Genomic DNA, 24,301 nt, shown 5'->3' with positions numbered 1-24,301 from the left:
TTTATTTTTTTATTATTTTATTATAAAGGCAATATTTTTATAGAAAACTCAGAAACCAAAGTAACATTACATATGTATATTAGAGTAAAAGAAATTCTTCCAATCAGGATGACTTTTTCTATTTCTGGGTTCATATATGTTTTCCACTAATAATAATTACCTACAAAACAGTAGTAAGAAAGCAGCATACTGCTCTATTGCAGAGTTTCAGACCGATCACTTATACCAATGTACTAACACTCTAAAATAGCCTTTGGCTTAAAGGATTATAAATCCTTCTGCTATAAAGACACATGCACACATATATTTATTGCAGTACTATCTACAATAGCAAAGACTTGGAACCAATCCAAATGCCCATCAATAATAGACGTGTTGGATAAAGAAAATGTGACACTTACACATGATGCAATACTATGCAGCCATAAAAAAGAATGAGTTCATGTCCTTTGCAGGGACATGGATGACGCTGGAAACCATCATTCTCAGCAAACTAACATAGGAACAGAAAACCAAACACTACATATTCTCACTCATAAGTGGGAGTCGAACAATGAGAACACTTGGACACGGGGAGGGGAACATCACACACTGGGGCCTGTTGGGGGTTGTGGGGCAAGCAGATGGAGAGCATTACGACAAATACCTAATGCATGTGGGGCATAAAACCTAGATGATGGGTTGATGGGTGCAGCAAACCACCATGGCACAAGTATACCTATGTAACAAACCTGCACGATCTGCACATATATCCCACAACTTAAAGTATAATTAAAAAAAAAAAAAGCCTTAGGCTTAATATCATTAGAGCTTGAGGCAAATTTCAAGAACTACTATCTTTGTTTATTTATTTAATTATGGAAACTAGCTTCAGACATCAGCAGAGATGATATCCTAAGACACAGGAGAGCGGGGGAGCTGCAGGGAGCTCCAGAGAAGCCTGTCTCCATGTGTGTTTAAATCTTTCTTCCCCCTGTCTTTCTCTGTATTCTTCCTTCTCCTCTTCCTTCCTTTCTTTACTGCAGTCTTTTCCTTAATTAGCCTTCATAGAGAACCAGCTGCCTTTAAAATCATTGTTTACCTATATTGAACAGTTTAATATATGATTATTTAACAACCATCAATCATTGTTTATCTATATTGAATAGTTTCACGTCCAGAATGGAATGAATTGACTTCTACATATGCGGTCCTTTAATGATTTCTTAAGGACCAGTAGCCCTCTGCAAAACTTTAAAAGCCTCTCCTAGAGCAAGGCGATTGTGCCATTCTTCATCCTCTGCTGGCTAGCCGTGTTGCCACCCACTTCTGCCTGCTAAACGGCTCCTTTCCTCAATCCCTGCCTGAGTGCTACTTCCTTCAGGAGGACTTTCTTTTGCACTGCTCCATCCTACCCTATAACTAGATGTGATCGCTTCTTGCCACAAATTCCAATCATATTCAGTCCAGTTTTGTGACACTTATAGTAATCTGGCTTGTATTTGTGTACCTGTTTTATTCTTCAAATAGGTTATGGCCTCCTAAAGGCAGGATCAAAGTCTTACTGAGTACTTTGCAGCTATCATGCCTTATAATTAAGAGTTGCAAGGGCCGAGTGCAGTGGCTCAAGCCTGTAATCCCAGCACTTTGGGAGGCTGAGGCAGGCGGATCACGAGGTCAGGAGATCGAGACCATCCTGGCTAACACAGTGAAACCCTGTCTCTACTAAAAATACAAAAGATTAGCCGGGCGTGGTGGCGGGTGCCTGTAGTCACAGCTACTCCAGAGGCTGAGGCAGGAGAATGGCGTGAACCTGGGAGGCGGAGCTTGCAGTGAGCCAAGATTGCTCCACTGCACTCCTGCCTGGGCGACAGAGCCAGACTCCGTCTCAATAAATAAATAAATAAGAGTTGCTGAGTACTTATTAATCAAATTCTTTTCTTTTTTTACAGACAGGGTCTTGCTCTGTTGCCCAGGCTGGAGCACAGTGGCATGATAATGGCTCACTGAAGTCTTGACTTTCTGGGCTCAAGCAATCCTCCTGCCTCAGCCTCCTGAGTAGCTGGGACTATAGGCACACACCACCACACCCAGCTAATTTTTTTATTTTTATTTTTTGTAGTATCCAGGTCTTGCTATGTTGCCCAGGCTGGTCTTGAACTCCTGGGCTGAAGCAATCCTCCTGCTGTGGCCTCCAAAATTGTTGGGATTACAGGCGTGAGCCACCGCACCTGGTGTTATTAATCAAATTCTGTAAGTTGAGTAACTATAGCCTTCTTTGCGTCACTTACGTGATACTTCAATTATTCAAATGCAGTGTAGATTTTACAGAGTTGTAAAGGTATAAACTACTCATTAAAAATAAAATATTTAGCTGAGCCGGTGGCCTGCACCTGTAATGCCAGTTACTCAGGGGGAGGATCGCTTGAGCCCAGGAGTTCAAGGGCAGCCTGGGCAACATAGTGAGACCCAGTGTCTAAAAAATAAAATAAAATATTTTTATCTGGGCATGGTGGCATGTGCCCGTACTCCCAGCTCCTTGGGAGGCTGAGGTTGGAGATGGCTTGAGCCCAGAAGTTGGAAGGTGTAGTGCCCAGAAGTTGGAAGGTGTAGTGCCCAGTGATAGTGCCTGTGTATAGCCACTGCACTCCAGCCTGGGCAACACTGCCAGACCCCTCTCTGCTCTTTTTTTTTTTTTTTTTGACGGAGTCTCGCTCTGTCGCCCAGGCTGCAGTGCAGTGGCAAGATCTCGGCTCACTGCAAGCTCCACCTCCCGGGTTCACGCCATTCTCCTGCCTCAGCCTCCCGAGTAGCTGGGACTACAGGCGCCCACCACCACGCCAGGCTAATTTTTTTGTACTTTTAGTAGAGACGGGGTTTCACCGTGTTAGCCAGGATGGTCTCGATCTCCTGACCTCGTGATCCGCCTGCCTCGGCCTCCCAAAGTGCTGGGATTACAGGCGTGAGCCACCGCGCCCGGCCTGCTCTTTTTTGTTGTTGTTGTTGAGATGGAGTCTTGCTGTCACCCAGGCTGGAGTGCAATGGCGAGATCAGCTCACTGCAACCTCCACTTCCTGGGTTCAAACGATTCTCCTGCCTTAGCCTCCCGAGTAGCTGGGATTACAGGCGCGTGCCACCACGCCTGGCTAATTTTTTATATTTTTAGTAGAGATGGGGTTTCACCATGTTGGCCAGGCTGGTCTCGAACTCCTGAACTCAAGTAATCCGTCCACCTCGGCCTCTCAAAGTTCTGGGACTACAGGCCTGAACCTCCCTCTCTGCTCTTAAAAAATAAATGTTGGCCGGGCGCGGCAGCATTTTTTTTTTTTCAAGATTACAGCGTCAGTAATCCCAGCTACTCGGGAGGCTGAGGTAAGAGGATCGCTAGGACCCTGGGGGCGGAGGTTGCTGAGCCGAAATCGCGCCATTACACTCCAGCTTTGGTGACAGAGCGAGACTGTCTCAAAAAAAAAAAAAAAAAAAAAAAAAATGCTTAGTAACAATACGTTGTAAACGGAAAAAAATCTTATTTTTTACGTTTAGATGCATGAGTACCAACGGTATGAAATCTTCAAATAATGTAACTCAGCGAGCAGTTTAACTACTGACTAGGAAAAAGTTCCCTTCCTTGAAACCACATGGCACACCTCTGGCCTTTCCCGTGCTCCATCCCTCCCTGTGCGGCCACTTCTTTGTGCAGCCAGGCACTGGGCTCTGAGTCTAGGTTGGCGGACTCCTCTCCTCGCCTCGGCATGGAGGTGGCTTCTCTTCCCCAAGCCTTGTGCAACAGGACCCGTCCTTGTGAGGGACCAGATAAACGCCCCATGCTCAAAGTCGCTCACCCTCACCTAGTCCTCACTGCTTCCAATGGTGTGCGGAATAAAAGCGATGAGCCCGAGGAAAGCCATCGTAAACGACTGTGATTGTCTTTAAGAAAGCTTGTGGCAAGATAATAATGTGGTCATTTTACAACAGTAGGAACTACATGCAAAATCGTCTCACTTTTTTCCCCCCCTTTGAAAGTTGAGTTACAATAATTTAAGTTGAAACCATAAAGAACTGCTTCTAAAATGCAAAAAAGACCAAAGATTTCTTCAGTATACCTTCAGTAGTCATTTCGAAGGACGGTAATAATTTACAAGATCCCCGTAGACTTTTCTTTTTTTGGCCATGGTTGGAAGTGGGGTTGACCTTAAAACTTGGTGGTTTCAAGGAACGCTTAAGTGTGAATTAATATGATGTGAAGAAATAATAATAGCCTCATTCTCTTGCAGTCTAATCACAGCCTTTTCCCCAGCCCCAGGGGAGGGAGCCTTTAATAAGGGTCTGTGTAAACTGACGCCCCGGCGGCAGGAGTACGGAGAAGCACTGCTCTGACAAGTTAAGACGCAGGAAACAGCAACCCAAAGAGCAGCCCCCGAAACAAAGTTGCTCAGACAAACAAGCCGATGCAGACGAGCGCCATGGCCCTGCTGGCGCGGATCCTGAGAGCCGGGCTGCGGCCGGCGCCCGAGCGGGGTGGGCTCCTGGGCGGCGGGGCCCCGCGGCGGCCTCAACCCGCGGGCGCACGGCTCCCGGCGGGGGCGCGGGCCGAGGACAAAGGCGCCGGGCGGCCGGGGTCGCCGCCGGGAGGGGGCCGAGCCGAGGGTCCCCGGAGCCTCGCCGCCATGCCGGGGCCGAGGACCCTCGCCAACCTGGCGGAGTTCTTCTGCAGGGACGGCTTCAGCCGCATCCACGAGATCCAGGTAGCGCGCGCCGCCCCGGGAGGGAGCCAGCCCGGGCTGCTGCCCAGAAGGCTGACGGCGCGGGCGGGAGGGCGCCAGGGAGGGGCGCGGGGTTGGGGAGTCCCAGGGAGGGGCGGCGGGCAGGGATCCCCGGGCACTGGGCGCCGCGGTGGGTTGGGGGAGCTGGACTGGGGTTGTCCGGTTAAGGTTCGCAGGAAGGGGCGCTGGGGAGAGGACGCCGGAAAGGCGATCCGGGGTGGAGGAGGCAGGAACCGGGAGCGGGGCGGGGGCGTTGGGGAGGGGTCTTCGGGAAGCGGACCCCGGAGAGGGGCAGCAGGCAGAGGGAGCTGAGGAACGGGGCCAGAAAGGAACGGCTGGGAAGAGGCGGGGGAAATGGGTGTCTCGGGAGGTGGCGGCAGGGAGGGGTCCCCTGGAGGGGCCCCAGCCGGGACCCCTGGGGAGGAGGTAGCGGGGAGGGGAGTCAGGGATGGAGTTTCGGAGAGTGGTAGCCCGAGAGAGGCGGCGGGCAGGGTCTCCAGGGACTGGTCCCGGGGAGGGACCCAGGCAGGGATTGCCTGGTTGGGGAACCTGGGGAGGGGGCGCCGCGAAGGGAAACCAGGAATGGGACTGCGGGGAGGGCACCAGGGCTGAGGTCCCGGAGGAGGAGACTTGGGGAGGGGCAGCGGGCGCCTGGTGGACGCCGCCGGGGCCTGGGAGTGGAGAGCTGGCGGGACCCGCGGAGTTGGGGCTGAGGGGGGCTGCTGCCTGGGGCCGGCCCGAGGGGAGCGCTAGGTTCCCTAGCTCCTCTAGGCTCTGCGGAGCTCGGTGTCCTTAGGTGGCCGAGACCGTGTGTATTCATTTCTAGTCCTTTTTGTATTTTGTAATGGCGGGGGAAGAGGGGACGGAGGCTCGGAGGCTCGGGGTGCCGTAGGCTCTAAGCCGGAGTTGGGGGCGACACCTGGAGTTCGCGCCGGGACTGGAGGCAGGGACGTGGGAGGAACCCAGGGGTCCCAGCCACCCGCTAGGGCGTTGGGGCCGGCGAATTCCGCACGCTTCCCACTTGGAGCCTGAGTGCTGTCCTTCCCACGCCCACCTCCGTTGCGCCCTTCGTGGCAGGGGCACTGCACCCGAGCCGCGGCGGCGCCCTCCGATGCCTTCGCCCATCGTCCGCCTCCCCGGGTGCCCGGCCCAGCACGCACTGTTATTTCTGGTATGGGGGCTTTTGGTGTCTTCCGAGAACGCCCCCTTCTCCTCCCACCCAGGCCTGTCCTTCTGCCCAGAGTTCCGGTCTTTCGAGACCCTTCTCCATCGAAGCCTCTTCTAACTACCCACCTGGGCTTCAGTCATTCATTCGTTCCATCAGCCATTCAGTCAATGAACGTGAGGGAGAAGCCCCAACCCTCATTAATGGAAAAACGGGCGTGCGAGGAGCAATTTTAATTCGGCCGGGAATTAAAATTTAATTTAATTTTAATGCCAGGAAGTCCCAACCGTCCCTCCTCAAGTCCGCCACGCCAACCCTATACAGTTCCAAACCGCCACCCCCACCCCAATGCTTAGAGGGCTCAAAAATGATTTTCTTTGTAGGATCTGATAAGATATCAGGATGGCAACTTTCAAATACAGTAAAAAGTGTTTTGTTATTTGCTGTTGATGGGTTCAATACAGCCTGCTTTCTGAAGTGTAATTTAATTTTTCTTTTATCCGCCCCTACTGCCATCTGCTTTTATCCTCATACCTCACCCAGAGTTTGTTCCATGGGCACAGGTTTCTTTGAGACGGACCGTGTTAAAGCCTGTATCCAGTCAGGATGTGTGGCAGTTCAGATGGGTATTTTCCATTCACCCGCCCCTGCCGCCAGCCCTCACCCTGAGCTCAGCCCCTCCTGCCCACTGCTCAGACAGCTTCCTTCACCACACCCAGGGCCCTGGGGCACGGAGCAGAGAGTCACAACTGACTCACTTGCTGCCTTCTCACCAAGCGCACACAGGACCTGGAGAGTAAAAGAAATAAAGGAAAAAGTTCTTTCCCTTTACTCTCCAGGTGGCACTACCCCAACCCTCAAATATGGTACTTGTGGGGACTCTCACCTTCCTGCAGCCCCTCTGAGGACTCCCAATTTCGAACACATGGTTCTAGAAAAACCCTCTCTTCCCGCTCTCCAGGTTGCTCATTGTTCTGTGGCCCATCACATCCAGTTCACTTGCGCTCCCCTTGCAATCACAGAATGTTAGCTAAACAAGGGCTCTTAGTGTTCACCTACATAGCTCACCTCTCATTTTACAGATGGAAAGAGTTGGGTGGTTACCTAAGCGACTTGCCTAAGGTCAGGCAGCTGGTGATTGGCAGAGTAGAAATCATAATTTGGGTCACTAGATGCTATTTAGGGTGTGGTAGAGCAGCAGGATGGCCGAAACAGGAGTCATGTCCTCCAATGCTGGCCCTCTGCAGCCACCTGTGGAGCCTTGGGCTAGTCACTCATTCTCTCTGCACCTCAGTTTTCTCATCCGTAAAGGAGATTAGCAATCGCCATTCCTCTCATGGGTTATGATAAGGTCAAATGAGCTTAGTGTTATGAAACTGTAATAATAACAAATAATAACGATCAGTATTTCTAGAACTCTTTTCATGTGCCAGGCACAGTTTCAAGTCTTACGTGAAACTTATTTCTCCATTTTTTGGGTGAGGAAACTGAGGCATAGTGGGACCTAACTTCCAAAGGTTATTCAGCTAGTAAACTGTGAGCCCAGATTCAAACTCCAGAGTCTGTGCTCTTAACATCCAAGCAAACTCTAAGTACTGTGCCTGACTGTATAGTTCCATGGCCCACCACCAGAAAGTGATGAAAACTATCTGTATCATTTCTACCTCCAGTTCCCTTGTGCTGATTGTACCCAATTCAGTAGCTGGATTTGCTTGAGGAGTGGCCCATTTCCCAGTAGTTCTTGTTACCAGTCATTCCTTCAGTGGGCCCCTTTAGAGACCTGAACTCTTTGGGGGCCACTTATTTGTTAGGCAGAAGTGACCCCTTGGAGATGGACTCATTCCAGTTTAGTCTGAATGTCTTCATTTTCAGGTCTCCAGAAGGAGTGAGTATAAGAGTAGAGAAATGACAGTGCTCCTGGCCCACTGTTTCTGAGATTGAGAGCTGGAGTGGTGAGAAAGCTGGGCAGATACCAAAGAGAGTCTTAGTAACTTTCCCCAGCCCAGCCCTGTCTGTGTCATGCTGAGCCATGTTAGAGGCTCATCACTTTTGTGTTTTAACTGAATAATTTAGTCTATTTACATTTATTGTGATTTCTTTTTATGCAGGGAGTAACAGCTTTCTTAAGATATAATTAACATATCATATAATTCATCCATTTGAAGTATACAACCATCACCGCAGTCAACTTGTAGAACATTTTCATGACCTCAAAAAGAAATCCCATATCCATCAGCTATCACCCCCAACTCTCCTATTCCCCCTGCTTTAAGCAACCACCAAGCTACTTTCTGTATCTATAGATTGGCCTATTCTGGACATGTCATAAGTGGAATCATGTAATATGTGGTCTTTTATGGGTGGTTTCTTTCACTTTAAACATTTCAGTATAATGTTTTTAAGGTTCACTCATGTTGTAGCATGTATCAGTACCTCATTCTTTTTATGGACAAATAATATTGCAGCGTATGACTATACCACATTTTGCTTATCCATTCATCAGTTCATAGACATTTGGATTGTTTCCACCTTTTAGCCGTAATGAATAATGCTGCTGTGAATTTTTGTGTGTAAGGTTTTGTGTAGACATGTGTTTTCATTTCTCTTGGATATGTATCTAGGAGTGGAACTGTTGGGTCAAATAGTAATTCTATATTTAACCTTTTGAAGAACTGCCAGACTGTTTTCCAGAGTATCTGCACCATTTTACATCCCCACCATTATCATAAGAGGGTTCTGATTTTTCTACATCCCTGTCAACATTTGTTATTACTTGTCCTTTTGATTATGGCCATTCTAGTGGGTGCGAAGTGCTATCTCTCCCTGATGACTGATGATGTTGAGCATATTTTCATGTGCTTATTTACCATTTGTATATCTTCTTTGGAGAAATATCCATTGAAATCCTTTGTCCAGTTTTTAATTGGGTTCTTTTCTCTCTTCTTCCTTCCTCCCTCCCTCCCTCTCTCTCTCCCTCCCTCCCTTCCTCTACTGATTTGTAAGTTTCTATATATTCTGGGTACAAGTCCCTTATCAGATATGTGCTTTGCAAATATTTTCTCCATCCGAAGGTTGTTTTTGCTTTTTATTTTTACATTTTATTTTTATTTTTTAATGAGACAGGGTCTTGCTATGTTGCCTAGGCTGGGCTCAAGCAATCCACCTGCCTTGGCCTCCCAGAGTGCTAGGATTACATGCCTGAGCCATTATGGCCGGCCTTGTTTTCACTTTCTTAATAGTGTTCTTTAAAGCATAAAAGTTTTAAATTTTGATGAAGTCCTATTATCGATTTTTTTCTTTTGTTACTTGCACTTTAGGGATCATATCTTAAGACATTATGCCAAACCCAGGGTCATGAAGATTTACCCTTATGTTTTCTTCTAAGAGTTTATAGTTTTAGCATTTACATTTAGAGCTTTGATCCATTTTGAGATAATTTTTTTATATAGTGTGAGAAAAAGGTAAAAATTGATTCTTTGCTTGTGGCTATCCAGTTGTCCCTGTGCCATTTGTTTAAGAGACTATTAAATCCTTTTCCTATTGAAAGATCTTGGAACTCTTGATGAAAATCAGTTGACCATAGATGTTTGAGTCTTAAATCTAAGCCAATGATTATGCCATTACTGCACTGTCTTGGTTACTGTAGCTTTGTACTAAGTCTTTTTTTTTTTTTTTTTGAGATGGAGTCTCACTCTGTCGCCCAGGCATGAGTGCGGTGGTGCGATCTCAGCTCACTGCAAGCTCCGCCTCCCGGGTTCACGCCGTTCTCCTGCCTCAGCCTCCCGAGTAGCTGGGACTACAGGCGCCCGCCACCATGCCTGGCTAATTTTTTTGTATTTTTAGTAGAGACGGGGTTTCCTCGTGTTAGCCAGGATGGTCTAGATCTCCTGACCTCGTGATCTGCCCACCTCGGCCTCCCAGAGTGCTGGGATTACAGGCGTGAGCCACTGCGCCCGGCCTGTACTAAGTCTTTTTTTTTTTAATTTCCTCTAAAAAAAAAAAAACCAAAAAAAAAAAAAAAAACAAAAAACGGATACATGTGCAGAACATGCAGGTTTGTTACATAGGTGTACGTGCACCATGGTGGTTTGCTGCACCTATTGACCCATCTAAGTTTCCTCCCCTCAACCCCCACCCCAGCAGGCCCTGGTGTATGTTATTCCCCTATCTGTGTTCATGTGTTCTCAATATTCAACTCCCACTTATGAATAAGAACATGCAGTATTTGGTTTTCTGTTCCTGTGTTAGTTTGCTGAGGATGATTGCTTCCAGCTTCATCCATGTCCCTGCAAAGGACATGATCTCATTCCTTTTTATGACTGCATAGCATTCCATGGTGTATATGTGCCACATTTTCTTTAACCAGTCTATCGTTAATGGGCATTTGGGTTGGTTCCATGTCCTTGCTACTGTAAATAGCGCTGCTGTAAAAATATGTGTGCATGTGTTTTTATAGTAGAATGACTTATATTCCTTTGGGTATATACCCAGGAATGGGATTGCTGGGTCAAATGGTATTTCTGGTTCTAGATCCTTGAGGAATCACCATACTGTCTTCCACAATGGTTTAACTAATTTACATTCCCACCAACAGTGTAAAAGTGTTTCAGTTTCTCCACAGCCTTGCCAGCATCTATTCCTGACTTTTTAGTAATCACCATTCTGACTGGTGTGAGATGGTATCTCATTGTGGTTTTGATTTGCATTTCTCTGATGATCAGTGATGTATACATTATACATTGAGCTTTTTTTCATGTTTGTTGTCTACATAAATGTCTTCTTTTGAGAGGTGTCTGTTTATATTCTTTGCCCAATTTTTGATGGGGCCATTTGTTTTTTTCTTGTAAATTTGTTCAATTTCCTTGTAAATTCCAGCTATTAGACCTTTGTCAGATGGGTAGATTGCAAAAACTTTCTCCCATTCTGTAGGTTGCCTGTTCACTCCAATGATAGTTTCTTTTGCTGTGCAGGAACTCTTTAATTTGATTCTAGTTGTCAATTTTGGCTTTTGTTGCAATTGCTTTTGGTGTCTTCATCAGGAAATCTTTGCAGATGCCTGTGTTCTGAATGGTATTGCCTAGGTTTTCTTCTAGGGTTTTTATGGCTCTGGGTTTTACATTTAAGTCTTTAATTCATCTTGCGTTAATTTTTGTATAAGGTGTAAGGAAGGGGTCCAGTTTCAGTTTTATGCATATGGCTAGCCAGTTTTCCCAGCACCATATACTGAATAGGAGTTCCTTTCCCCATTGCTTGTTTTTGTCAGGTTTGTCAAAGAGCAGATGGTTGTAGATGTGTGGTGCTATTTCTGAGGTCTTTGTTTTGCTCCATTGGTCTATATGTCTGTTTTGGTACCAGTACCATGCTGTTTTGGTTACCGTAGCCTTGTAGTATAGTTTGAAGTCAGGTATCGTGATGCTTCCAGCTTTGTTCTTTTTGCTTAGGATTGTTTTGGCTATATGGGGTCTTCAATTCCATATGAAATTTAAGTTTTTTTTTTTCTAATTCTGTGAAGAATGTCAATGGTGGTTTGATGGGAATAGCATTGAATCTATAAATTACTTTGGGCAGTATGGCCATTTTCACGATATTGATTCTTCCTATCCATAAGGATGGAATGTTTTTCCATTTGTTTGTGTCCTCTCTTATTTTCTTGAGCAGTGGTTTGTAGTTCTCCCTGAAGAGGTCCTTCACATTCCTTGGTAGCTGTATTCCTAGATATTTTATTCTCTTTGTAGTGATTATGAATGGGAGTTCATTCATGATTTGGCTCTCTGCTTGCCTATTGTTGGTGTAAAGGAATGCTTGCGATTTTTGCACATTGATTTTATATCCTGAGACTTTGCTGAAGTTGCTTATCAGTTCAAGAAGTTTTTGGGCTGAGATGATGGGGTTTTCTAAATATAAAATCATCTCAACTGCAAACAGAGATAACTTGACTTCCTCTCTTCCTATTTGAATATGCTTTATTTCTTTCTCTTGTTTGATTGCCCTGGCCAAAACTTCCAATACTATGTTGAATAGGAGTGGTAAGAAAGGACATCCTTGTCTTGTACCAGTTTTCAAAGGGAATGCTTCCAGTTTTTGTCCATTCAATATGATATTGGCTGTGGGTTTATCATAAATAGCTCTTATTATTTTGAGATATGTTCCATCAGTACCTAGTTTATTGAGAGTTTTTAATGTGAAGGGATGTTGAATTTTATCAAAGGCGTTTTCTGCATCTATTGAGATAATTATGTAGTTTTTGTCCTTGGTTCTGTTTATGTGATGGATTACGTTTATTGATTTGTGTATGTTAAAACAGCCTTGCATCCCAGGGATGAAGCTGATTGATCGTGGTGGATAAGTTTTTTGATGGGTTGCTGGATTCGGTTTGCCAGTATTTTATTAAGGACTTTTGCATCAATGTTCATCAGGGATATTGGCCTGAAGTTTTCTTTTTTATTCTGTCTCTTCCTGGTTTTGGTATCAGGATGATTCTGGCTTCATAAAATGAGTTAGGGGGGAGTCCCTTCTTCTCAATTGTTTGGAATAGTTTCAGAAGGAATGGTACCAGCTCCTCTTTGTATTTCTGGTAGAATTCAGCTGTGAATCCATCTAGTCCTGGGCTTTTTTTGGTTGGTAGACTATTAATTACTGCCTCAATTTCAGAGCTTGTTATTGGTCTATTCAGGGGTTAAATTTCTTCCTGGTTTAGTCTTGGTAGGGTGTATGCGTCCAGGAATTTATCCATTTCTTCTAGATTTTCTAGTTTATTTGCATAGAGGTGTTTATAGTATTCTCTGATGGTAGTTTGTGTTTCTGTGGGGTCAGTGGTGATATCCCCTTTATCATTTTTTATTGTGTCTATTTGATTCTTCTCTCTCTCCTTCTTTATTAGTTAATTTTTTCCAAAAACCAGTTCCTGGATTCATTGATTTTTTTGGAGGGTTTTTCATGTCTCTATCTCCTTCAATTTTTCTCTGATCTTAGTTATTTCTTGTCTTCTGCTAGCTTTTGGATTAGTTTGCTCTCGCCTCTTTAGCTCTTTTAATTGTGATGTTAGGCTGTCAATTTGAGGTCTTTCTAGCTTTTTGATTTGGGCATTTAGTGCTATAAATTTCCCTCTTAACACTGCTTTAGGCCGGGCGCAGTGGCTCACGCCTGTAATCCCAGCACTTTGGGAGGCCGAGGTGGGTGGATCACGAGGTCAGGAGGTCGAGACCATCCTGGCTAATACGGTGAAACCCCGTCTCTACTAAAAATACAAAAAAAAATTAGCTGGGCGTGGTAGCGGGCGCCTGTAGTCCCAGCTACTCGGGAGGTTGAGGCAGGAGAATGGCATGAACCCGGGAGGCGGAGCTTGCAGTGAGCCAAGATAGCGCCACTGCAGTCCAGCCTGGGTGAAAGAGCGAGACTCCATCTCAAAAAAAAAAAAAAAAAAAAAAAAAAAAAAACAAAAAAACACTGCTTTAGCTGTATCCCAGAGATTCTGGTACGTTGTCTCTTTGTTCTCATTGGTTTCAAAGAACTTCTTGATTTCTGCTTTAATTTCATTATTTACCCAGGAGTCGTTCAGGAGCAGGTTGTTCAATTTCCATGATATTGTGTGCTTTTGAGTGAGTTTCTTAATCCTAAGATCTAATTTCATTGCACTGTGGTCAGAGAGACTGTTTGTTATGATTTCAGTTCTTTTGCACTTGCTGAGGAGTATATGTGGTCAATTTTAATTGACAAATAAGTGCCATGTACACTGAGAAGAATGTATATTCTGTTGATTTGGGGTAGAGAGTTCTGTAGACATCTACTAGGTCCACTTGATCCAGAGCTGAGTTCAAGTACTGAGTATCCTTGTTAATTTTCTGTCTCGCTGATCTGTCTAATATTGACAGTGGGGTGTTAAAGTCTCCCATTATTATTGTGTGGGAGTCTAAGTCTCTTTGTAGGTCTCTAAGAACTTGTTTTATGAATCTGGGTGCTTCTGTATTGGGTGCATATATATTCAGAATAGTTAGCTCTTCTTGTTGAATTGTTCCTTTTACTATTATGTAATGCCCTTCTTTGTCTTTTTTGATCTTTGTTGGTTTAAAGTCTGTTTTGTCTGAGACTAGGATTGCAACCCCTGCTTTTTTTTTTTTCACTTTTCACTTGCTTTGTAAATTTTCCTCCATCCCTTTATTTTGAGCCTCTGTGTGTCTTTGCCTTTAAGATAGGCCTCCTGAATACAGCACGCTGATGGGTCTTGACTCCTTATCCAATTTGCCAGTCTGTGTCTTTTAACTGGGGGATTTGCCCATTTACATTTAGGGTTAGTATTGTTATGTGCGAATTTGATCCTGTCATCATGATGCTATTTGCTTATTTTGCACACTAGTTGATGCAGTTTCTTCGTAGTGTCATTGGTCTTTATATTTTGGTGTGTTTTTGCAGTGGCTGGTACTGGTTTTTCCTTTACTTATTTGGTGCTTCTTTTAGGAGCTCTTGCATGGCAGACCCAGTGGTAACAAAATCCCTCAGCATTTGCTTTTCTGGAAAGGATTTTATTTCTCCTTTGCTTATGAAGCTTAGTTTGGCTGGATATGAAAGTCTGGGTTGAAAATTCTTTAACTATGTTGAATATTGGCCCCCAATCTCTTCTGGCGTATAGAGTTTCTGCTGAGAGATCCACTGTTAGTCTGATGGGCTTCCCTTTGTAGGTGACCTGGCCTTCCTCTGTGGCTGCTCTTAACAGTTTTTCCTTCATTTCAACCTTGAAGAATCTGATGACTATGTGTCTTGGGGTTGATCTTAATGTGGAGTATTTTAATGGTGTTCTCTGTATTTTCTGAATTTGCATGTTGGCCTGTCTTGCTAGGTTGAGGAAGTTCTCCTTGATAATATCATGAAGTGTGTTTTCCAGCTTGTTTCCATTCTCCCCGTCTCCTTCTGGTGCTCCAGTCGATTGTAGGTTTGCTGTTTTTATGAAGTCCCATATTTCTTTGAGGCTTTGTTTATTCCTTTTCATTCTTTTTTCTCTATTCTTGTCTGCATGTCTTATTTCAGTAAGGTGGTCTTCAAATTCTGATATCCTTTCTTCCACTTGGTCGATTTGGCTGTTGATACCTGTGTATGCTTCACGAAGTTCTCACACTGTGTTTTTCAGCTCCATCTGGTCATTTATGTTCCTCTCTAAACTGGTTATTCTAGTTAGCAGTTCCTCTAACCTTTTATCAAGGTTCTTAGCTTCTTTGCATTGTGTTAGAACATGCTCCTTTAGGTCATCGCAGTTTTTTATTACCCATCTTCTGAAGTGTACTTCTGTCAATTCGTCCATCTGATCCTCCATCCAGTTCTGTGCTCTTGATGGAGAGACATTGTGATTATTTGGAGGAGAAGAGGCACTCAGGCCTTTTGGTTTTCAGCATTTTTTTGTTGATTATTTCTCATCTCTGTGAGTTTGTCTAGTTTCAGTCTTGAGGCTGCTGACCCTTGGATGGGGTTTTTGTGGGGGCCTTTTTTTGTTGTTGTTATCAATGCTGTTGTTGTCGCTTTCTGTTTGTTTTTCTTTCAATAGTCAATCCCTCTTCTGTAGGGCTGCTGCAGTTTGCTGGGGGTTCACTTCAGGCCCTATTCTTCTGATTTGCTCCTGTGCCTGGAGATGTCACTCAAGGAGGCTGAAGTGCAGCAATGATGGGTGCCTGCTCCTTCTTCTGGGACCTCTGACCTCAAGGGGCATCAACCTGATGCCAGTAGGATTGCTTCTGTATAGGGTATCTGACAACCCCTATTGGAGGGTCTCACCCAGTTGGGTGGCATGGGGAGCAAGAACCTTTTAATAAAGCACTTTGTCCCTTGGTGGGGAGGGTGTGTTTTGCTTGGGGGAAACCCACTAGTCTGGATTGCCTGGATTCCTCAGAACTACCAGGAGAAGAGGCTAAATCTGCTGGTCCGCAGAGACTGTGGCCACCCCTTCCCCAAGGGCTCAGGCCCAGGGAGATCAGAGTTCTGTCCCCGAGCCTCTGACTGGAATTGTTGGAGATCCTGCTGGGAATCCCCAGCCACTGAGGAAGGATGGATCAGGGTTAGACCTGAAGAGGCACTCTGGCTGCCAACTGCCACAGCTGGTGTGTTGAGCTGTGGGGATAACTCTTGGGACCAAGCCATCCAGCCTCCCTGGCTCCAGCAGGGGAAAAGTGCAGCCTGGAGCTATAGAAATGGGTGCCACCCTTCCCCAACCCAGGGAGCTTAGCCTGTTGGCAGTTGTGAGTCCCAGTGCTGGCTGCTGCCCCTCCCCCAAGGAGCTCAAATTACTTAGACAGCAGGCAGCCGCAGCTGGTGCTGGTCGCCCATCCCCTCAGGAGTTCAGTAGGCTTAAACAGATTCCAGCTGAGAGGCTGTAGGAATCTGTGCATACCAGGGTTGGGATGCTTGGCTCTGGTGGCATGGGTTCGAGAGTGGGATCTTCTGACCTGTAGGTTGCACAGTTCTGTGGAAAAAGCACAGTTTCCCCAGCTGGGTAGCCCGCTCACTCACCACCTCCCTTGGCTGGGGGGAGTGGGTTCCCTTCCCCGTGTGGCTTCCAGGTGGGCCACTGCACTACACTGTTCTTCCTTCTCTCCGTGGGTTATGCCAGCCTTCTAGTCAATTTTGATGAGAGAACCTGGATACCCTGGCTGCCAGGGAAGGTTTCACATGCTTATTATGTTTTTTTTGATGGGAGCCTCTGAGCACCACTGCTTCTAGTTGGCCATCTTGGCCCCTCTCCCATACTAAGTCTTGAAACAGGAAAATGGGGGTCCACCAGCTTTGTTCTTTTTTCGAGATTGTTTAGGCTATTCTGGGTCTCTTGCATTTTCATATGAATTTTAGGATCAGCTTATCAGTTTCTACAAAGAAGCCCACTGGAATTATGATAGGGATTGTGCTGAATCTATTTATACACTTTGAGGTGTATTTCTTTCTCAACAATATTAAGTCTTCCAGTCCATGAACATGGGATATCTTGCCATTTATTTCATGTCTTGCCATTTATTTCAGGCTTCTTTAAACAATGTTTTGTAGATTTCTTTAAACAATGTTTTGTAGATTTCTTTAGACAATGTTTTATAGTTTTCAGAGTATAGGTTTTACACTTCTCCTGTTAAATTTATTTCTAAGAATATTATTATTTTTTTTTTTGTGACAGAGTCTTGCTCTGTCACCCAGGCCTGAGTGTGGTGGTACAATCTTCACTCACTGCAACCTCCACCTCCTGAGCTCACGTGATCCTCCCACCTCAGCCTCCTGAGTAGCTGGGACTACAGGCTCACACTGCCATGCCTCGCTAATTTTTGTATATATATGTATTTTTTGAGATAGAATTTCACTCTTGTTGCCCAGGGTGGAGTGCAATGGCGCAGTCTTGCGGCTCACTGCAACCTCTGCCTCCTGGGTTCAAGCGATTCTACTGCCTCAGCCTCCGAGTAGCTGGGATTACAGGTGCACACCACCATGCCTGGATAATTTTTGTGTTTTTAGTAGAAATGGGGTTTCACCATGTTGGCTAGGCTGGTCTCAAACTCTTGAACCCAGGTGATCCCCTCGCCTTGGCCTCCCAAAGTGCAGAGAGTACAGGCATGAGCCTTTGCACCCAGCCATGTATTTTTTTTAGAGACAGAATTTTGCCATGTTGCCCAACCTTATCTTGAACTCCTGTGCTCTAGCGATCCACCCACCTAAGCCTCCCAAAAGTGCTGGGATTACAGACAGGCATGAGCCACTGCAGCTGGTCAAGTATTGTATTCTTTTTGATGTATTGTAAATTGAATTGTTTTTTAAATTTCATTTTGGATTGTTCACTGCTAGTGTATAGAAATACAATTGATTTTTGTATACTGATTTTGTGTCCTATTGAACTTGTTTATTAGTTCTAATAGTTTTTTAGTAGGTTCCGTAGGATTTTCTGTATGTGAGATCACGTCATCTGCCAATAGAGATAGCCTGACTTCTTCATTTCCAATCCAGATGTCTTTTCCTTCATTTTCTTGCTGGGAGTCAGTTTTAGAGGCTCGTTACAGACTGTCCACAGAGGGCTTGCTCTGCAGAGTTGGCTTGGTACTGCTTGGGTAGAGCTGTTGGGCCCATGGAAAGGGGCTGGCAGACAGGGCTCTGTTTGCTCTGGACATTTGTCTCTTATAATGACATTTCTCTCTTGTTGCTTCACACAGCTAAGGTAGTTTTAAAAACATATCCCTAAAGAATAAGAAAACTTCCATGATCATGCCTGTAATCCCAGCACTTTGGGAGGCTGAGGCAGGAGGATCACTTGAGGCCAAGAGTTCGAGACCAGCCTGGCAACATTGAGAGACCCCTGTTTCTACAAAAAATAAAAAATTAGCTGGGAGTGGAGGTGTGCACCTGCAGTCCTAGCTACTTGGGAGGCTGAGGTGGGAGGATTGCCTGGGCCCAGGAGTTGGAGGCTGCGGTGAGCTATGTTTATGCCACTGCACTCCAGCCTGGGCAACAGAGCAAGACCCTGTCTCTAAAAAACAAACAAACAAACAAACAAACAAACAAACGGAAACAACAAAAAAGAGATGGTTATGTGAAAACATGTTTATCTCAGCAATATGTAAATTACTGCTCTGATTCAGTGCTGTGTTAGATAGCACTTCCCTCTGCCCCAATTTTCTGCTCCTCTAGCACACAGGATGTTTATGTTAAAGGTATATCATATCTATGTATTTTTTCCTTTTTTGATTTCTCCATGGTATTGCAGCAGAAGCACACACGGGAATATGGAAAAATCTTCAAGTCTCACTTTGGTCCTCAGTTTGTAGTATCTATTGCAGACCGCGATATGGTGGCTCAGGTGCTCCGGGCGGAGGGCGCTGCGCCCCAGAGAGCCAACATGGAGTCCTGGCGGGAGTACCGAGACTTGCGGGGGAGAGCCACCGGGCTCATCTCGGCGTGAGTATGTGGGCCCGGGCTGAGCCACGGGCTGGAGGGGGAGCTCAGGGGGAGGCCCCCTCCTCCAAAGCTGAGTTCCTAAAAGCCAGCTCTTAAAAAAGCACAGAACCCCCCCATGGAATGATATCAGACAGTCTCCTTGTGCGATCTCCCAGACATGAGAGCCCTGCTGGGCTTTCTGGCTCCTCCTCCGTGCAGAGTTGTCCCGTCAGGAGCCAGGAGGGGCGACGCTGGCTCCGTGGTGGGCAGAGCGCTTCGGAAGCAGGGCTTTGTGGCTTTGGGAGTCCATTCAGTGATAACCGAGGCAGACAAAACTCACAGCGCCCTTGTCTGTGCACAGGGAAAGGAGGTGGTCACTATTTCAGGAAAATCCCTTTGACGAGGGGCTAAGAACCTCCAGCCTTGGTCGCCACGTGGTGATTTTCCTGTCTCATAGCAGACTGTGATTATTCATTTTGAACCAGCGTCACCAACACCTCTGTGCCTTCCAAGAGATCGTGGCCCGCGGCCAGGCAGGGAGGCCCAGGGCGCCTGCAGATGCCCCGGTCCAAATCCCCATGGGGTGGGACTTCTGTTTGCAGCTCTTTTGATATCTATGTCCTTATACATAAATTGGGGAGAAATACAGCCACCAATTTCTCAAGTAAGATAAATAAGAATCGTGACCAGATGTCACCAGGGTCCCTCAATTTCCGTCCTGGGGGAAATAATTAAACAGCTCCTCCTGGATGTTCAGGCCTAGAGGGGCCCGAATGCTGAGGCAGAATCTCTCTGCTGTCTGCCCCGTTAGCTGCAGGCTCAGGAGCCTGTGTGGGTGCCTGGACCCCTCTTCGGCTGAGATGGAGAGAGGCGGTGCTGGTGACTTCAGCACAGTGGACAGCAAAGGGAAGGGCAGTGCCTAGGCCCAGGCGCCGGGCTGGCTTAGCTTGGGTCCTCCAAAGTCCATCTGGAGGCAAGGCTTTGAGTGCAGGTGGTCTCCTTGAGAACGCGAAAGTGGAGCAGGGTTGGGAGGCAAGCCATGCGGAGGTGTGGAGGTGTGGGTGACGCTCGTGGGCACTTGAGGCTCAGTCCTGCCACGACCCTCTGAGAAACTGCAGAACACTCCTCAGACCTCCAAGGGGTTCCCTCAGCGTCCTGCCTTCACTGGGAGCGGTGTGCTGGGCCTGCTACCTGGGTGCTCTCCGAGTGCAGCCAGGAGCCCCAAGGCCCCACACCCTGGTAACAAGCTGCAGTCCCTCTTTCTTTCCCACACCCTGGTAACAAGCTGCAGTCTTCTTTCTTTCTTTCTTTCTTTCTTTCTTTCTTTCTTTCTTTCTTTCTTTCTTTCTTTCTTTCTTTCTTTCTCTCTCTCTCTCTCTCTCTCTTTCTTTCTTTCTTTCTTTCCTTCTTTCTTTCCTTCCTTCCTTCCTTCCTTTCTTTCTTTCTTTCTTTCTTTCTTTCTTTCTTTCTTTCTTTCTTTTTCTTTCTTTCCTTTCTCTCTTTCTTTTCTTTCTTTCTCTCTCTCTTTCTTTTCTTTCTTTCTCTCTCTCTTTCCTTCCTCCCTCCCCCCTCCCTCCTCCCTCCCTCCCTCCCTCCCTCCTTCCTTCCTTCCTTCCTTTTCTCTCTCTCTCTCTCTCTTTCTTTCTTTTTTTTTTGAGATGGAGTTTCGCTCTGTCGCCTAGGCTGGAGTGCAATGGCGTGATCTTGGCTCACCATGACCTCTGCCTCCCGGGTTCAAGTGATTCTCCTGCCTCAGCCTCCCGAGTAGCTGGAATTACAGGTGCCCACCACCACACCCGGCTAAATTTTTCTATTTTTGGTAGAGATGGGGTTTCACCATGTTGGCCAGGCTGGTCTTGAATTCCTGACTTCAGGTGATCCACCCATCTTGGCCTCCTAAAGTGCTGGGATTACAGGCATGAGCCACCATGCCTGGCCCTCTTTTTCTTTTTTAATATCAGTACTTACTTCATTTATATATACATATGTATGCATATATATATATATTTTTCTTTTGCTAATTAGCAATCTCATTTCTTTATTACAATATTATTTCAAGATTTTTTAAAGGAAGTCGTATTACTTTTACTAAAGATTATTACTTACCACTGGTAGTTTTTTCCTTAAAGTTTGCTTCAAAGGCAAGAGTGTAAGAAGCTCTAACAGGCTCCAGGGCTGCAGTTATTAACTTCTCTCTCCCCAGCAAAAAGTCTTTCCTGTCTTAATTCTACTTTGTTGGGCAGCTCTTGTTGATTCTTTATGGCTGAAATTTTTTCTAGAGGTTCCTTGAATTCTTTCCCAGAATGTCAGTGTAAGTAAGATGATTTGAAACTCACTTGATTCTTCTAGGGAGGGTGAACAGTGGCTCAAGATGAGAAGCGTATTGAGACAAAGAATTCTGAAACCGAAAGATGTGGCCATTTATTCTGGAGAAGTCAACCAAGTTATTGCTGACTTAATTAAAAGAATCTACCTCCTCAGGAGCCAGGCAGAAGATGGAGAAACCGTGACCAATGTCAATGATCTTTTCTTCAAATATTCAATGGAAGGTGAGGTGGAATCAGCAGGTGGGAAGGAGGGAAGAATGGATACTTGCCCCAAACCTGCAGATGTCATCTTGGATCATTCCCTGGGTCCCAGGCAGTGTGCTAAGTCTGGGACATACATGCATGTCACCTCCACGGTGCTAACGTGAACCTGGTGTGAACCACCGTTGACCAATGAGGAAACTGAGACTTTTTTTTTTTTTTTCTGAGATGAAGTCTTGCTCTGTCACCCAGGCTGGAGTGCTATGATGTGGTCTTGGCTCGCTGCAACCTCTGCCTCCCAGGTTCAAGCGATTCTCCTGCCTCAGCCTCCCGAGTAGCTGGGATTACAGGCACCTGCCACCACTCCCGGCTAATTTTTTGTATTTTTAGTAGAGACAGTGTTTCACCATGTTGGCAAGGCTGGTCTCGAACTCCTGACCTCGTGATTCGCCCGCCTTGGCCTCCCAAAGTGCTGGGATTACAGGCATGAGCCACTGCACCTGGCTGAAACTGGACTTAAAAAAGAACTTGCCCAATGCCACACCCCCATCCCTCTTTTTAGAGGCAGAAAGTTAGTTTCAAATTCAGGTCTTTTAAACTCAAGAAGCCATGTTCCTAATTACTAATTTACATGTTCAAAAAAAAAAAACATTTTGTTTGAGCATAATTTTTAAAAAGGAGTGAAGTTGAGAGGGCATCTACTTCAAACTCATTCTAGCTTTTAGTCATATTGAATGAGTGGTACATTCCTGTTCAAATAGCAATACCAAAAAGGCTTCAGTGAAGGTCTCCCTCTTTCCTGAATGCAGCAAAGGTCACTAGTCTCTCATGTATATGTCAAGAGATGTTTTATGCACATACAGAAAAACGCATGTGAATATTCTTTTTATTTTTAAACAATAAAGGGTAGTACACCAAACATACTGTTCTGCACCGTGCTTTCTCTTTACTTAAGAATGCATCTTGGGGCTGGGTGCGGTGGCTCACGCCTGTAATCCCAGCACTTTGGGAGGCCGAGGCGGGTGGATCACCTGAGGTCAGGAGTTTGAGACCAGTCTGGCCAACATGGTGAAACCCTGTCTCTACTAAAAATACAACAATTAACTGGGCCATGGTGGCGGGCACCTGTAATCCCAGAGACTTGGGAGGCTGAGGCAGGAGAATCGCTTGAACTAGAGAGGCGGAGGTTGCAGTGAGCCAAGACCACACAATTGTACTCCAGCATGGGTGACAAGAGTGAAACTCCATCTCAAAAAAAAAAAAAGCATGTTGGTCTAACATGGTGATGTTTGTGTAAAAAAAAAAAAATAGAATGCATCTTGGAGGACTTTCTATCAGCTTTCTCATCTTTTTTAAAAAAAGCTTACCTTCAACTTTCACTCAAGTTAGCTTTGCAGAGTTCTGATGTTAATTTTCTCTAAAATTAGTAACAAAATCATCCCAGAAGTGATTGGTAAATACAGTTCACAGCTCTGCCCGACACGGATTCATCCAGGCCACTTCTGCTGCGCCTTTAGCTCTCCAGGCCTGGGCTCTGCGTTTTGGCCAGGAGGAGTCACTTTTCAATTCCTCAAGTTGGGCAAGTGGCTGGAAGGCGATCCCCAGTGGCCAGGTGGGGCAGGGAGAGGCCATGTGAGGTTTGCCGACTCCTTCCTGAGAGGAGGGTGTTGGGGGAGAGCAGTGACACGCTCGGTGATTGTCCCCTCCCCAGGGCTCATCATTTCAGACCTGTGCTCCAGATCTGTCCCAGGGTCCTCCTCTGCAGCCTTAGCCAAGCTACTTAAACTCTCAGAGTCTTCGAATTTCCTCCAGAGAGTGGGCTTCTTCATCTGTGCCTCCCAGGGCTGTGGGGCTCCTTAGGTGAAGCAGCAACAGCACCACCTGTCAGCCCTAAATGCCAGCACCCTGCAGTTCAGGATGCAGAGAAATCCTCAGAGGGACGATGCCTCATTCATGAAAGGCACCTGGACCACGTTTGAAAGTTGCATTTATGGCCCAACATTGCCTGTTGGTATGGTAAATAATCTAGAAGAGGGTTTTCAAATTCTCTTTCCTGTCTAGGAGTGGCCACCATCCTTTATGAGAGTCGTTTGGGCTGCCTGGAAAACAGCATCCCACAGCTGACTGTGGAATACATCGAGGCCCTGGAGCTCATGTTTAGCATGTTCAAGACCTCCATGTATGCAGGCGCCATCCCCAGATGGCTTCGCCCCTTCATCCCAAAGCCCTGGCGGGAATTCTGCAGGTCCTGGGATGGACTCTTCAAATTCAGTAAGAGAAGAATTGAGAGCACCTTTTGCAGAAGCAGGTTGACCTGCCGTGTTGTGTGTCTAACTCTCATCCAGACAATGGGTGACCATAGCAGAGGATGCCTAGATGTAGTCACGTGTTAGTTTTTGGACCCATAACTTTTGGATTTTTTTTTTTTTTGAGACGGAGTCTGGCTCTGTCGCCCATGCTGGAGTGCAGTGGTGTGATCTCAGCTCACTGCAACCTCTGCCTCCTAGGTTCAAGTGATTATCATGCCTCAGCCTCCTGAGTAGCTGCGATTACAGGCACCTGCCACCATGCCTGGCTAATTATTTTGTATTTTTAGTAGAGATGGGGTTTCACCATGTTGGCCAGGCTGGTCTTGAATTCCTGACCTCAGGTGATCACCCACCTTGACCTCCTAAAGTGCTGGGATTACAAGTGTGAGCCACCACGCCTGGCCATGGATTTGTTTTTCAAAGAAGCAAAAAGCATGTGGGTTGTGACTACAGGTAACATGATCAGTTTTTTCATTTTAAAATAATTTTTATTTTCACTAGCATGCTAGCAGGGACAGGTACAAGTAAATGTCCATGCAAGATGATGTCTTTACTCCAAATAAATTGGTCAGTGCTTAAAATGTAGAGTTTCAGGTCCACGCACATTCATTTGAATGTGACAATTTTTGTTCAAATCCAAGGTGAGATTACAAAGAGATTTGTTTTCTTATG

The 24,301-nt window shown here is 45.9% G+C and overlaps 1 protein-coding gene across 4 annotated transcripts in view, besides 1 other annotated feature; it reads left to right on the top strand.

Annotated features, from left to right (window-relative positions):
* The window catches only part of CYP27C1 (cytochrome P450 family 27 subfamily C member 1), a 36,468-nt gene continuing 16,580 nt past the window's right edge, over window positions 4,414-24,301 (top strand). The window contains exons 1-4 of one of the 4 annotated variants that reach the window (XM_024452838.2): window positions 4,414-4,724; window positions 18,696-18,813; window positions 21,142-21,341; window positions 23,382-23,591. In XM_024452838.2, the coding sequence (XP_024308606.1) occupies window positions 18,704-18,813; window positions 21,142-21,341; window positions 23,382-23,591 (520 nt within the window). In that variant the 5' untranslated portion in view covers window positions 4,414-4,724; window positions 18,696-18,703. Of the gene's footprint in view, window positions 4,725-18,622; window positions 18,814-18,945; window positions 19,055-21,141; window positions 21,342-23,381; window positions 23,592-24,301 lie in introns of those variants that run through there. The other 3 variants (NM_001367502.1, NM_001367501.1, NM_001001665.4) reach the window with 3 other exon arrangements.
* Window positions 15,567-16,116: an enhancer, noted in NCBI's record as "NANOG-H3K4me1 hESC enhancer chr2:127966173-127966722 (GRCh37/hg19 assembly coordinates)". NCBI's record gives its function as "activates a minimal SCP1, AML or CMV promoter by ChIP-STARR-seq in primed H9 embryonic stem cells {active_cell/tissue: H9 hESC(primed)}" and the evidence as "EXISTENCE:reporter gene assay evidence [ECO:0000049][PMID:30033119]".

The sequence above is a fragment of the Homo sapiens genome, chromosome 2 (genome assembly GCF_000001405.40).
Source record: "Homo sapiens chromosome 2, GRCh38.p14 Primary Assembly".
Taxonomy (NCBI): Eukaryota; Metazoa; Chordata; class Mammalia; order Primates; family Hominidae; genus Homo; species Homo sapiens.
Note: the sequence above shows the minus strand (reverse complement) of the source record. Positions and strands in the feature narration are given on the sequence as shown.